General features: G+C 42.5%; 1 protein-coding gene across 4 annotated transcripts, besides 3 other annotated features; it reads left to right on the top strand.

Moving 5' to 3' along the window:
* SNRPA1 (small nuclear ribonucleoprotein polypeptide A') lies at window positions 37-13775 on the top strand. Of its 4 annotated transcripts, NM_003090.4 has the most exons (9): window positions 37-188; window positions 2113-2260; window positions 3245-3323; window positions 7583-7629; window positions 8275-8377; window positions 8992-9071; window positions 9484-9559; window positions 10225-10318; window positions 13503-13775. In NM_003090.4, the coding sequence occupies exons 1-9, from the start codon at window positions 107-109 to the stop codon at window positions 13559-13561; spliced, it is 768 nt and encodes a 255-aa protein (NP_003081.2). In that variant the 5' UTR covers window positions 37-106; the 3' UTR covers window positions 13562-13775. The 4 variants fall into 4 exon arrangements, 1 of the variants encoding a protein (NP_003081.2); NR_135508.2 differs by lacking the exon at window positions 8992-9071; NR_135506.2 differs by lacking the exons at window positions 2113-2260; window positions 3245-3323; window positions 8992-9071.
* Window positions 119-308: a silencer, noted in NCBI's record as "silent region_6889". NCBI's record gives its function as "represses an Ori minimal core promoter by ATAC-STARR-seq in GM12878 lymphoblastoid cells {active_cell/tissue: GM12878}" and the evidence as "EXISTENCE:reporter gene assay evidence [ECO:0000049][PMID:35858748]".
* Window positions 452-1083: an enhancer, noted in NCBI's record as "NANOG-H3K27ac-H3K4me1 hESC enhancer chr15:101834407-101835038 (GRCh37/hg19 assembly coordinates)". NCBI's record gives its function as "activates a minimal SCP1, AML or CMV promoter by ChIP-STARR-seq in naive H9 embryonic stem cells {active_cell/tissue: H9 hESC(naive)}" and the evidence as "EXISTENCE:reporter gene assay evidence [ECO:0000049][PMID:30033119]".
* Window positions 2001-2080: an enhancer, noted in NCBI's record as "active region_10192". NCBI's record gives its function as "activates an Ori minimal core promoter by ATAC-STARR-seq in GM12878 lymphoblastoid cells {active_cell/tissue: GM12878}" and the evidence as "EXISTENCE:reporter gene assay evidence [ECO:0000049][PMID:35858748]".

Genomic DNA, 14327 nt, shown 5'->3' with positions numbered 1-14327 from the left:
GGCTGCGATTGGTGCTGCCTGGCGGCGGGGCGCGGGGCACGCTGGGACGTCTCGCTGGCGGGAGGCCACGGGCTTTCCACAGCGCGGGGGAACGGGAGGCTGCAGGATGGTCAAGCTGACGGCGGAGCTGATCGAGCAGGCGGCGCAGTACACCAACGCGGTGCGCGACCGGGAGCTGGACCTCCGGGGTGAGTCCGGGGGCGTGGGCGGCCAGTCCCCAGGCGGCACCGAGCCGCCTTATTTTCCGCGCTTTGCCGCGTGCACCGAAGGCCGGAGCTTGGCCCGCGGGCCGGTTGTCTGGGCTCCGACCGGGCTGCGCAGGGAACGCCGGGCCTGATTCTTGCCGTTGTTGCCAGATGAGCATCCGGTTAAGCTCCTGGGAGCCTTCTGTTAGCGCCGTGCCTCTTGACAGGCACGGGTGACTTCATTACTTCCTGGTGCGTCCTCGTGGGGCCCTGTTAGGCCTTGCTTGGCTGTTTCGCCGCTGGCTGTTTGAGGGCCCGGAAGAGCGGCTCATTAATGGTTGTAACGCAAGTGCAGGGCGCGGGATTGGTTCTTAATACTTGCCGCCAGATGATATTTTGAGCGTAGATAGGATATGTGTTCATTATTCCTAATGTGAGGGAGGAAACTAAGTCCCCGAACAACCGCGATTGTTTCCTCCAGTATTTTCTACTTAGTAGCTTTAATTGTCTGGCGTTTCCCCTATATGAAGACGTTTTAAAAATTGAACTGTGTCACCCAGGCTTGCACCGCCGGGTGCTGTGTGTAAGTTGTGGAAGCGCTCGCAATTATTCAGATTCCTGTACTATTTCAACCTTAGCAAGACTTGGTAAGATACTGGGAGGGCAGCTAGCTAGTTGGCATTTCAGGAGACGGCTTTAAAAGGGACGTGATAGAGCAACTTCTCTGAGGATAAGACCATGCTGTCGTAGCCTGAGATTTGTTCCCATGGGGACCTATGGCCTCGGAGCAGCATCGCTGCGGGATCTGCTTAGATTTCTTGCCGACCTTTGGGAAATCCCACTGTTTTGTGTTGTGTTGTGTTGAGATGGAGTCTCGCTCTTTCCGCCCCAGCTGGAGCGCAGTGGCGTGATCTCGGCTCACTGCAACCGCCGCCTCCCCGGTTCAGGTGATTCCTGTGTCTCAAGCCTCCCGAGTAGCTGGGAATACAGGCATGCGCCACCACGCCCGGCTAATTTTTTGTATTTTTAGTAAAGACATGGTTTCTCCATGTTGGTCAGGCTGGTCTCGAACTCCCGACCTCAGGTGATCCGCCCGCCTTGGTCTCCCGAAGTGCTGGGATTACAGGCTTGAGCCACTGCGCCCGGCCCAACTCACCACTTTTGATGATCTCTGCCATTTCTCTTTATGGAGCATGTGCAGTGTTGAGAATACGTATTTTGATGCAGTACGTGTAGTACAGCTCTGAATTGTGTCCTTTAACTTTGGGTAAGTTCTTTTTTTAGTAGACCTTGCTTCTTCGGAATATTTCTTTTCTTATAGTGCCTAACACAATAATTATGCCCAAATTAGACAAATTAACATTTGAGTGTTCACAGATTTATTACTGTATTTAAACCATTGATCTTCAATTCTGAATTGGAGCTGGGGGAGGGGAGGGAGAACTGTCGTGATATGTTGAGGCTGTTCTGATGGGTTCTAAGAATCTGGCCTGTGGAGATGCAAGAGTGGAGAACTGTCGTCCACAATGTTTGAACGCCGTTTGGGCACTGAGACTAAGCAGCTCCAAGTGTAAACTCCTGTTGTGCCGATTCCGCTTAACTAGCCCAAACGACTTAGGACAGTGTGAGGCACCTTGTAAATGTTCTTATAAATGTTAGCTGCCTATATCAGCCATTGTTATTGTCCTTGTCCTTGTTGTCATCAGATTCTAAGCTTCATGGCACTGGGGACTTGAGACTCGTTCAGCGTTTTCTCTCTAGTATCTTAAACAGCGGCAAGTCATGCGTGACCCGACATAGGTGCTAGGTAATACTTCCTGAATAAATCAAAGCCTGGAGTCAGATACTATGAAATACAGCTAATGCTTTAAGGGGCAACTGTTTAGTTATATTAATACCTCTTGTGTTTTTTTCCTCCATTTTATAGGGTATAAAATTCCCGTCATTGAAAATCTAGGTGCTACGTTAGACCAGTTTGATGCTATTGATTTTTCTGACAATGAGATCAGGAAACTGGATGGTTTTCCTTTGTTGAGAAGACTGAAAACATTGTTAGTGAACAACAACAGAATATGGTACGTGTCTGTAGGGGAAAGTAATTTTTTCCCCTAGAGTAAATGTTGCAGTGTTTCCTGAAGAAGTTGTAGCACGTGCTACTGGTTAAACCTACATGTTTCTTTTTCTTTTTCTTTTTCTTTTTTATTTATATTTTGAAAAAATATTTTTTCCATAATGGAAGCCACATTCAATACATGTTTTTTCTTAAAATGAGAAATGAACTTCACTTTTCCTATAGAGATCCAGAGATTAACCTGGCATTAGTCTAGTCTTACTTGTATCTGTTCAGAAATCATGTATTTTTATTTTCATGGTTAAGTTTCTAAATAAAAACATGTTGCTTTGTATACATTTTGGCTTCTAAAACAATTATCAAAGGGGTCATAGTAAAAGGATATATAAAGGTAACAATTATACTTTTGACTGAGCGTCTCTGCTTTTTTTTTTTTTTAACTGCAACTAATTTCTAGACTGTTACTTATTGAAATTGAGATCTTTTTTGACCCTGCCTTCATCAGCTCTGTGTAAACTTTATTGGAAAAAAAGCACTTGGTGTATAGATAATGTCTTTAAAGGTACTGGGTGGTGAGTGGGATTTCCTTCAGATAGAAATATTTCTCATAGGTTAACCATTCCCCTATAGTATAGTTGTTGTGTCTTGTACCTGAGCTGGGAATCCAGAATTATTTGTATTTCTGTGCTGCCTGCACAAAAAATCATGAAGTGAGTTAAGTAGTTTGTGCCACCCAGGAGTTGCACCTTTTCTCAGGTTCCACTAGATGGTATGACAGTGGAATTAGCCCCAGGCAGTGTCTAAAATCCCACTTCTGTTGCTGACCCTGTGGCCTCAGAAAAGGGTTCTTTTTGCTTTGTTTCCTCTTTATCAGGGTGTTGGAAGAAGGATCTCTAAGTGTCTCTCTGTGATCCTCTGAGCAAGGAGGTAGATAAAATTGTTAGCTTATTTAATTTTCACTTTTACTAAGACTCTATTTTTATTTTAGCCGTATAGGTGAGGGACTTGATCAGGCTCTGCCCTGTCTGACAGAACTCATTCTCACCAATAATAGTCTCGTGGAACTGGTAAGTTGCACAGAAGGAAAATGTATTTGGTGGGTGGGGTTAAAGGTACTATGTGCTTCCTACAGAAAATTTACAAAATCTAGAAAATGATCTCAGTATCCTCTTTCTTGTCTTTTTCTTAATTCAGGATCTGGGCCTTTTGGGTTCTGCAGCCGTATGTTGCAAATATTTTCCTACTTTTACTTGACTTTTGACTTAGGATGTCTTGTTAGAGAAGTTCCTAATTTAGGTGCAGTCCAATGAATCAATCTTCTTCTTTATTGTAGCCCTTTTGATGTTTAAATTTCCCCTATTCCAGGGTTATAAACTCCTATGTTGTTTTCTACAATTGCAGTGTTCAATATAGTACCAGTAACTACAGGTGGCTACTTATAATTGAGATGTGCTAGAACTATAAAATACACACTGGATTTCAAAGACTTAAGTGCAAAAAAAAAAAAAAGTAAACTATCTCAGTAATTTTTTTATATCGATGTTGAAATGATAACGTTTTGGATAATAAGTTAAATGGCATATTATTAAAATTAGTTTCACCTATTTTAACATGGCTACTAGAAAATTTTAGATTACATATCTGATATGCATTAAATCTTGCTGAACAGTTCCAGTCTAGAAACCTTGTTTTACTCTTCACGTTAGATGAACAATCCACTTGGAACTGTTTTCATGCTTTTTAAATTTCTGTTCTGTGTATCCAATTTTTAACATAATTGAGATACTGTGTATTGTTTTGTAACCTAAATTCTTCACTTAAACACTGGATGCTTAAATTTATATTGTAGGCCAGGTGCCATAGCTCATGCCTGTAATCCAAGCACTTTGGGAAGCCAAGGTGGGAGGATCACTTGAGCCCAGGAGTTCTAGACCAGCCTGGGCAACATAGTGAGACCTTGTCTCTCTCTATAAGTAATTTTTTTAGAAAAGCCGGGTGCAGTGGCTCATGCCTGTAATCCCAGCACTTTGGGAGGCCGAGGCGGGTGGATCACGAGGTCAGGAGTTCAAGACCAGCCTGGGCAATATGGTGAAACCCCGTCTCTACTAAAAATACAAAAATTAGCCGGGCGTGGTGGTGGGTTCCTGTAATCCCAGCTTCTTGGGAGGCTGAGACAGGAGGATTGCTTGAACCCAGGAGGCAGAGGTTGCAATGAGCTGAGATCATGCCACTGCACTCCAGCCTGGGCAAAGAAAGAGACTCCGTCTCAAAAAAAAAAAAAAAAAAAATGCCAAAAGTGGTAGCGTGCATCTGTGGTCCCAGGTATTCCAGTGGCTAAAGTGGGAGGATCACTTGAGCCCTAGCCATCAGTCGAGGCTGCAGTGAGACATGATCATGTCTCTGTACTCCAGTCTGGGCAATAGTGCAAGACCTCATCTCAAAAAAAAAAAAAAATCGTATAACTTAATTTTGTGACTTAACCTTCCTCCCGTATTTTCCTGATTGTTGAGAATGAACTGTGTTCCTTTCCTTGTGGACAAGGTCCATAGCATCCTTCAGATTCTCAAGGAGATGCTTGACTACAAACATAAGACAGCACTGGTCCATGGCCATGTCCTTTCTGAAGTGTGTGAAGTATTCAACCCGAAATACATATTTATAGGCAATGTGTCTCATGATAGGTGCTGTTAGAGAAATTAGAGTTGTATTTAAAGCTCTTTGCAAAGATGAAGACTACTGGGCTTATCAGTTATTGAGAGAGGTATGTTAGAATCTCACAGCATGGTAGTGGATTTGACTATCCCTGAAGTTCTGTCGATTTTAGTTTTGTATATTTTGAAGTTGCCTTATTTGATACATACAAATTTTAAATTATTCATATCTTTCTGGTGAACGGAAACTTTTTATTATGTTGTGACCCTCGATCTCTATTAATGCTGTTTACCTTGAGGTTTCTTTTACCTCGAAACAATCTTTGTTTTGGTTAGTTATATGCATGATAAATCGTTTTCCATCCAAAATTTACTTTCAGCTTGTCTGTACCTCTTGTAGTTTAGATTTCTCTCTTAAAAACTGTATGGTTGAATTTTTTTTTTTTTTTTTTGAGATGGAGTGGCTGGAGTGCAGTGGCGAGATCTCGGCTCACTGCAACCTCTGCCTCCTGGGTTCAAGTGATTCTCCTGCTGCCTCAGCCTCCCGAGTAGCTGGGATTACAGGTGGGCGCCATCACATCTGGCTAATTTTTGTATTTTTTTTTTTTTTAGTAGAGACGAAGTTTCACCATGTTGGTCAGGCTGGTCTCGAACTCCTGACCTTGTGATCCACCCGCCTTGGCCTCCCAAAGTGCTGGGATTATAGGCGTGAGTCACCGCGCCCAGCTCTGGTTGGAATTTTTTACAATCCAGTCTGAAAGCTCTTTTAAGTGAATTATTTATATTTAGTCTGTTTACATTTAATGTAATTACTGGTGTGTTCCAGTTTGTCTTCTCTCTGTTCTGGGGCTTCCTGTCTGTCCCACCCGTTCTTCAATCCGTTTTCTCTCCTTTATTGTAGATGCTCTCCTTCTGTCATTCCATTTTTTCTTCTGATGGTTTAGAAATTACTCTCTTTCAATCTTGAGTTAGCATCGTAGGAATTAAAACACACATATTTATAAAAGTTTAAAATTAAATGTTAAGATCACTGTACCATGACCTTCAACATTTAATTTTAAACTTTGACACCTTTACCCTGCTAAACAATACAGTACAGTGACCTTCAACATTTCAGCAGCCTTCGGGTTGTTACATATTTATTCTTTTTTGAAGCCCATCACTACATCGCCATTACGTTTTACACTGTGTATGTAACAAATGTTACCACTTTGTTCTTTATTCCTTTTTGGATCATCTTCAGTGGGGGTAAAACAGTATCAAGCTCTAGAGCTCCCTCTGGTGGTTTTTGTGACATATTTGAAGATGGCAGCTTGCTTTTTGAGAATTTCTGGCTCTGCTCTCCCTGTTTTTATCTGTACTTTTTTTTCTCATTGTGCCTCTTGCACACACACACCCCTTCCCCACCATCTACCCAATTTGCGCCTGTTCCAGCAGTTTCTCTTCAGGGCAGGGCCGTGTTGGGACATGATTTCTATTAAGAGTGAGGGCCCAAATTGCTCTTGCCCCTGCAGCCCTTATCACAGACCCCTGTAGTCATTATTGGAACATGCTGGTCTTGGGCCTGCTTTTCTCAGTCACTGGAGTTCTCCAGTTTGTAAGACGGCTCCTCGCCTCCCCTCTGCTTCTTCCTGTACAAAGGCCGTCACCCTGCAAGCCTTGTTGCTCTCAACATGGGTTGTCTCTACTTGTTCCTATTTTAGAGTTACTGCAGAATGCCTTGCCATCTAGCTTGGTTGTAGCTGGTAACCATAGGTTTTTGTTTTTTTGCTATCCTTATTGCACTATGTTTTATGGAACAATTGGAGAAGATTAAAAATTCACCCTGCCCACTGGGCGTGGTGGCTCACGCCTGTAATCCCAGCTCTTTGGGAGGCCGAGGCAGGCAGATCACGAGGTCAGGAGATCGAGACCATCGTGGCTAATACAGTGAAACCCCGTCTCTACTAAAAATGCAAAAAAAATTAGCCGGGCATGGTGGTGGGCGCCTGTAGTCCCAGCTACTTGGGAGGCTGAGGCAGGAGAATGGCATGAATTCGGGAGGCGGAGCTTGCAGTGAGCCAAGATCACGCCACTGTACTCCAGCCTGGGCAACAGAGCGAGACTCCGTCTCAAAAAAAAAAAAAAAAAAAATCACCCTGCCTTCTTTCCATTAATTCGATCATTTTTAAGCTATACTATTCCTTGTCCCTGCAAATTTTATTTAAAGAGATTTTCAGGGGCAGCTAGGATAAATGTACCTTCTTTCAAAAGACAGTATACCTTTGTTGTTCTTAGACGCTGAAGCTGGCGCTAGCAGGAAAGCCCACTTACACCAAGATTCTGGCTTGCAGTTCCCAGTGTGAATAGGTTGCTCCAGAGTCCCATCAGCTTTGCCATTGTTTTCTTTTCCAAATCATGGCTCAGCAGCCACTTTGAGATTCCTGTAGGAAAGCAATTTCTTATCTCCTGCTATTGAGACAGAAGCTGTTAATGCCAAGATTTTAAGAAGCTCCCATGTATTCATCGGTAGAAATTATTTAAACATTTGTGATGTGCTAGTATTGGGCTTGTTGCTAGAGAGTAAAAATTCAGTAAATAATGAAAAGACAACTTGCTTCAAAAGCACTCTCCATTTCAGAATCTCAAAATAGCGTGTGGTATTCGCGTTCTTACCTGTGGCTATTGCTTGACAGGGTGATCTGGACCCTCTGGCATCTCTCAAATCGCTGACTTACCTAAGGTATGGGAATTACATATTGTGACAAAATGAAGCCCTTTAAAATAACATTACTTTTACCAGCCTTGACCTTAATGTAATCAGATAATTAAAAAATGTGGCACATATGCACCATGGAATACTATGCAGCCATAAAAAAGGATGAGTTCATGTCCTCTGTAGGGACATGGATGAAGCTGGAAACCATCATTCTCAGCAAACTATCGCAAGGACAAAAAACCAAACACCCCATGTTCTCACTCGTAGGTGAGAATTGAACAATGAGAACACTTGGACACAGGAAGGGGAACATCACACACCGGGGCCTGTTGTGGGGTGGGGAAAGGGGGGAGGGAAAGCATTAGGAGATATACCTAATGTAAATGACAAGTTAATGGGTGCAGCCCACCAACATGGCACATGTATACATATGTAACAAACCTGCAAGTTGTGCACATGTACCCTAGAACTTAAAAGTATAATTTAAAAAAAAAGTGCCTTTTACAAAGAAAGATTGAATATATTTCCTTAATGTTAAATTGTTACAATGTTGCAATGTGAAGAATGTGAATGTTCCCTTGATTTATAGGTTCCTTAGACTATTCAAACAGACCTCTTGAGTGCTGTGCCATGAACAAGTTTGCCATTGTGTCATTCCTTTTCTTGTAGTATCCTAAGAAATCCGGTAACCAATAAGAAGCATTACAGATTGTATGTGATTTATAAAGTTCCGCAAGTCAGAGTACTGGATTTCCAGAAAGTGAAACTAAAAGTAAGTAGTAATCTGTTGCTTGTGAGCCATTATAGAGTTGTGTGTTTTTCTTTATATTTTTGTTACTGATTATTAAAATTGTCTAAATGAGTAAATTTTACCATTAGTTTGTAATAAAAGTGGGAGGGAAAATGTTACATCACATTTTTTTCTAATAGCAGAGTTTATGATAGAACTTTTAAGTTGGAGCTCTCTTATGTAATGCTGGCTATTCCGAAGTTCGCAAAGTGCTGAGGCCACGGTGAGCAGTCTTAACAGTGGATTGTCTGCCTAGATACGTTCCCAGCGGAGAACTTAATGTAACCTACTTTCGTGCAGCTCCGTGTGTTAGGATGATTTTTCCCTTTATTAGGAATTCATTATTTTATTATTCATTTAATTGCCTTCTTAGTTCCCTGGGATCCCCTCCTTGGAGCTAGGAGAATGAACTTTCTTCAGGGAGCTCTACCAAAGAAAGAAGACCACTGTGTCTTCTCTTAATTTGAAATTGCTTTTTGGTATTTTCACCAGCCCGGAGTACTGTAGGAGAGTTCGCTTCCATGTCTTCTGAGGAATGCATCTAAATGCATGTGGTATTCCTATTTCCATTAACTCTGTGTGTGGTGTCGCTGTAGGAGCGTCAGGAAGCAGAGAAAATGTTCAAGGGCAAACGGGGTGCACAGCTTGCAAAGGATATTGCCAGGAGAAGCAAAACGTAAGACACGGATATCCAACTTAACTCTACTTCACCTTCAGAAACATGATCTGATCTGTCTGGCAGTTCGTCTCCTACAAAATTAACCAAAAACTCTGACATATTAATGTGGTATTAAATTTGAGTGCTTATAGTCCATGTACATCAATGGTCCACACATCACAAGAAATTTCTACCAGCTTAGCAGAGCAAATATTTCAGTAGTCAGTCTTCATGTGATACCATGTACATCCTATTTTCTATATAGGAAGATGAACTGGATGGTGTTTCTGAAGGAGAGAGTTCTTGTATCAGTTTGTTAACAAAGATAAGATACTACACTGGTTGAATTACTTTCAAAAGCTTTTGAAAGTAAAAGAGAAGCAACTTCTGTTGGTCTAGGTCTAACAGTTATGTTCTTCCCCCTCTTAAGTTTTAATCCAGGTGCTGGTTTGCCAACTGACAAAAAGAAAGGTGGGCCATCTCCAGGGGATGTAGAAGCAATCAAGGTAATCATGTGTTAGGATTCTTGGACTGGAATGAGCTAAGATGGGTTCAGAACACAAAGCTGGATAATAAACATGTTCCGAACATTGCAGATTTCATTTTCCCACAGTTATTAGCATACAGCAATATTTCTGTTTAAGGAAAAACTAGCATAAAGTTATTATTTGATCAGACTTGAAATTACACAAGCTAATTAATGTGGAGGCAGCTTTGTCTTTCTCATTTTCCAAGGTGCATTTATCACTTCGAACAGTTACTTACCTTGGTATGCTGTCTCAGTGTTTGCCTTAATTTTTACTTTCGAAGATTTGCTGTCTGGCAAATCCTTTTGACTGATCAGTAGGGACCCTCGTTTTATAATATTGCCTCCTTAAATTATTCAGTAACATAATTGCAAATAGTTACTTCACTTAGCTACGATTTTAGAACATGTGGAGTGATTATTTATAAGAAGGCCTGCATCTCTTCACCAATTTTAGAAATTTGTGGTTTGGCTTCTAGTTTTATTTTTGTGGGCCAATAACATTCTTCCCCCTACACCAAAGTATTTAATGTTCCTGATGGAGAAGTTGCTGTGAATTTCTGTAGGTGATTGACACTTAGTTTTCTGGGTAGCTGATACTTGGTTGAAGTTAATCATCCATCTCCATTGCCCTCTGTCCTCCAGAATGCCATAGCAAATGCTTCAACTCTGGCTGAAGTGGAGAGGCTGAAGGGGTTGCTGCAGTCTGGTCAGATCCCTGGCAGAGAACGCAGATCAGGTGAACAAATGGTGTTCTTTGTATGTTCAAATTAATGTTACACTCAGAGTGTAACTCACAACCATTTAGATGCCATGACTCTGGAATGCCAGAGTAGTGCCTCCTTACATCAAATCTAATATATGAAATCTCTTTAAATGCTCTTTGAAGATAAAGTATTTGATGGGTTGGGTGCAGTGGCTCACGCCTGTAATCCCAGCACTTTGGGAGCCTGAGGCGGGCGGATCACCTGAGGTCAGGAGTTCGAGACCAGCCTGACCAACATGGAGAAACCCCATCTCTACTAAAAATACAAAATTAGCCGGGGGTGGTGGTGCGCGCCTGTAATCCCAGCTACTCGGGAGGCTGAGGCAGGAGAATCGCTTGAACCCGGGAGGTGGAGGTTGTGGTGAGCCGAGATCGCACTTTTGTACTCCAGCCTGGGCAACGAGCAAAACTGCAGCTCAAAAAAAAAAAAAAGGTATTTCATGAAGAAAGTTAAGTTACAGCACTGTGGGGGGTTTTATGTAAAAGTTGAAGCTAGAATTACTTCAGCCATGGAGTGCACCGAACACTAGCGATAGCCATGTGGACTTTTACCTATATATATTTGCGTGTGTGCATGATACCTCAGTAGTTAGGAACACAGGCTCTAGAGCCAAGCAGTCCGAGGCCCAAATCTCAGCTTCACCAGCTCTGCCTTTGGACAAGTTTCTTCAAGTCTTTCCTCATCTTTAAATCTGAGATAACAATAGTAGCAAACCTCAAAAGGTTGCCGAGAGGCTGAGAGACTGAACACAGCACAAGGCTCAACATTAGCGAGTTTTTGATAAGTGGTAACTGTTCTGACATCTGAATGCCTGCTTTATGCTAGGCTGCATGTGGGGCACTAGGGATATAAGATAAAAAGTACTGAAATACGTCTTACAAGTTTTGATATGAATGTAACTGGGGACAGCCACTCAGACTGCCGTCTTGGGGAAGTTTCCTAGGGAAATAATGTTTGAGCTGGGAGCTAAAAATTAAAAAGACATTTTTTTCCTTTTTGAGTCGGAGTTTTGCTCTTTTTGCCCAGGCTGGAGTGCAGTGGCGCGATCTCGGCTCACGCCAACCTCCGCCTCCCGGGTTCAAGCGATTCTCCTGCCTCAGCCTCCCAAGTAGCTGGGATTACAGGCACCTGCTACCGTGCCCGGCTAATTAATTTTTAGTAGAGACAGCGTTTCACCATGTTGGCCAGGATGGTCTCAATCTCTTGACCCCGTGATCCACCTGCCTCGTCTTCCCAAAGTGCTGGGATTACAGGCGTGAGCCCCGTGCCCAGCCAAAAAGAAATTTTTTAAGACCAGTAATTCTCTACTGTATGGTTTGTGGGCCTCTGGGAGTCTGTAAGGTGAAGACTGATTTTGTTGTTGTTGTTGTTTTGAGACGGAGTCTCGCTCTGTCGCCCAGGCTATAGGGCAGTGGTGCAATCTCACCTCACTGCAAGCTCCGCCTCCTGGGTTCATGCCATTCTTCTGCCCCAGCCTCCCGAGTAGCTGGGACTACAGGCGCCCGCCACCAAGCATGGCTAACTTTTTGTATTTTTTTTTTTTTTAGTAGAGACAGGGTTTCTACTAAAAACACATGTTAGCCAGGATGGTCTCGATCTCCTGACCTCATGATCCACCCGCCTTGGCCTCCCAAAGTGCTGGGATTACAGGCGTGAGCCACCGCGCCTGGCCGAAGACTGTTTTCATCTAATAACACCAAGGTGTTACTTGCTTTAGTATGAACATTTGCACTGATGGAGCAATAGTGGGTAGAACTGCGGGCACCTCAGTAGGAGTCAAGGCAGCAGCCTAAATAATAGCTGTTACATTCTTCCCTGCTCTGCACTCCCAGTAGCGTGCATACCAGTTTCACTTAAGAGTGTCCTGGATGCAGCAGTAAAGATAATTAAATATCACTCCTCGGGCACACGTCTCTTTGATATTCTGGGTGACAGAAAGGGGGTGCACATGTCTGCATTCTTGAGTTAGGTGGTTATCTCCATGCACTGGTGCAGTTGTTTCAGTTGAGAGGCAGCTACCTGTCTTCTCAAACATGATGAAGTGAGCCTGTCACTTCAGGGAAAACAATTGAAAATTCAAGGTTTAAAGCAAAAATTAAAATTTAGAAAACTTGTATCCACTGCCGTAACCTGCCAGCTTCCCAGTACTTTAAGACTTTTCTGGGGAACTCAATAGTAATGTTATGTGCATGTGAATTAATGGGTGTGACATTTTTGATGTGTAATTACATGGCTCAACGTTTGGAAGATCTGCAAAAGTCGGTGAACCACAGTTTTCCAAATGATACGAAATCATGTACGGGTAAAAGATTTGTTCAAAGTACAAGATAAACCAAGTAAGAGTATGAAAAGTTCATTGATAAGGTTTCAGACTTTTACACTGCCATCTAACCTTGAGGAAGCTACCATTTGTCAAGTTTTAGCATAGTATCTAAAAAGAGCATCCACCATTATCTGCACAGGCTGTTAAAATCTTCCTCCCTTTTCTAACTGTGTGCCTGTGTGGCCAGATTTTCTTCATGCCCGTCAATCAAAATGCCGTATTGCACAGGATGGAATGATGAAACCAATACAATAATTCAGCTGACTGATGTTAAGTCAGACATTAAGTCAACAATAACAATTGTTTCCCAAACAATTGAAGGAGTTACAACTTTTTTTTCCCCCTGGAATACATTGAGCAAAATACCTGCCATAAATTGTTGAACAAATGTAACATTTTTTGGTAGTTGTTGGCATATTTCCCTAATTTAGAGACAATAAAGTCATTGAACTGTTGCCAGTATATGGCATGTAGTAGGTGCCCAGATGTTTTTGAGTATTTCCGGTTTCTTTGCCTACGGTAGTGCCATGAAAAGCACATGAGTATAGGCTTTACCTTCACCAAAAATGAATTATTATCAACTACAATGGGAGGCAACAATTTTGAAATCTTTGTGACCCTTTTCCTTTGAAATTGAGCATCCCTTCCAGTACCTGCCAAAGACAGACTAGACCGTCCCTGGACGATAAGCTCCTCAAAGGCAGGTGCTGCTTTTGATCTTTTTGTACCTACTTCAGTGTGTAACAAACAGTGGCCACAGAACAAACACTTGCATGCTAAGGGAATGGATTCTCTAAAATTGATACTACTTTTGCTTTGGTGGTTTTCTTTAGGGCCCACTGATGATGGTGAAGAAGAGATGGAAGAAGACACAGTCACAAACGGGTCCTGAGCAGTGAGGCAGATGTATAATAATAGGCCCTCTTGGAACAAGTCTTGCTTTTCGAACATGGTATAATAGCCTTGTTTGTGTTAGCAAAGTGGAATCTATCAGCATTGTTGAAATGCTTAAGACTGCTGCTGATAATTTTGTAATATAAGTTTTGAAATCTAAATGTCAATTTTCTACAAATTATAAAAATAAACTCCACTCACTATGCTACCAAGTTGTGTGTCATCATGGTGCATTTGCAGTGAGGTCTAAGGACACGTTGAAATTGGAAATGCAGGAGGGCAGCGTTTTCTCGGTAGGCTTCCTGGGCTGGATTAGCGTCTGGCTCCTGCAGTGTCATGACACATGCCAGGAAGGCCGCCTTTTCCACTCCCACATAGCCCTTCTGTTAGTGCAGACTTACCTGTCGCTCCGGCTTCTGATAGGACAACTGAAATGATTCCATTTTTGAAATTGATTGGTGTGTCCCACCAAACCTGGCTATGTTTTTTGTTTTTTTCTCCCCCGCCCCCAGGCTGGTCTCCAACTCTGGCTTCAAGTGATCCTCCCGCCTTGGCCTCCCAAGGGAGTACAGGCCTGAGCCACCATACCCAGCCTTTAGTTTTATATATGTACATAGTTAACATAAAGGTCATATGGAGAGTCTACAAGAACATTTGTTGAAAGGGGCGTAAGTTACTCATATTTGAAGAACACTACTGTTTCATTGCCATCTCTCTGATCCCCCTTAGCCACGACAGTCTTAATCCCATCTTGTTGCATATAC

This window comes from Homo sapiens, chromosome 15, assembly GCF_000001405.40.
Source record: "Homo sapiens chromosome 15, GRCh38.p14 Primary Assembly".
Taxonomy (NCBI): Eukaryota; Metazoa; Chordata; class Mammalia; order Primates; family Hominidae; genus Homo; species Homo sapiens.
Note: the sequence above shows the minus strand (reverse complement) of the source record. Positions and strands in the feature narration are given on the sequence as shown.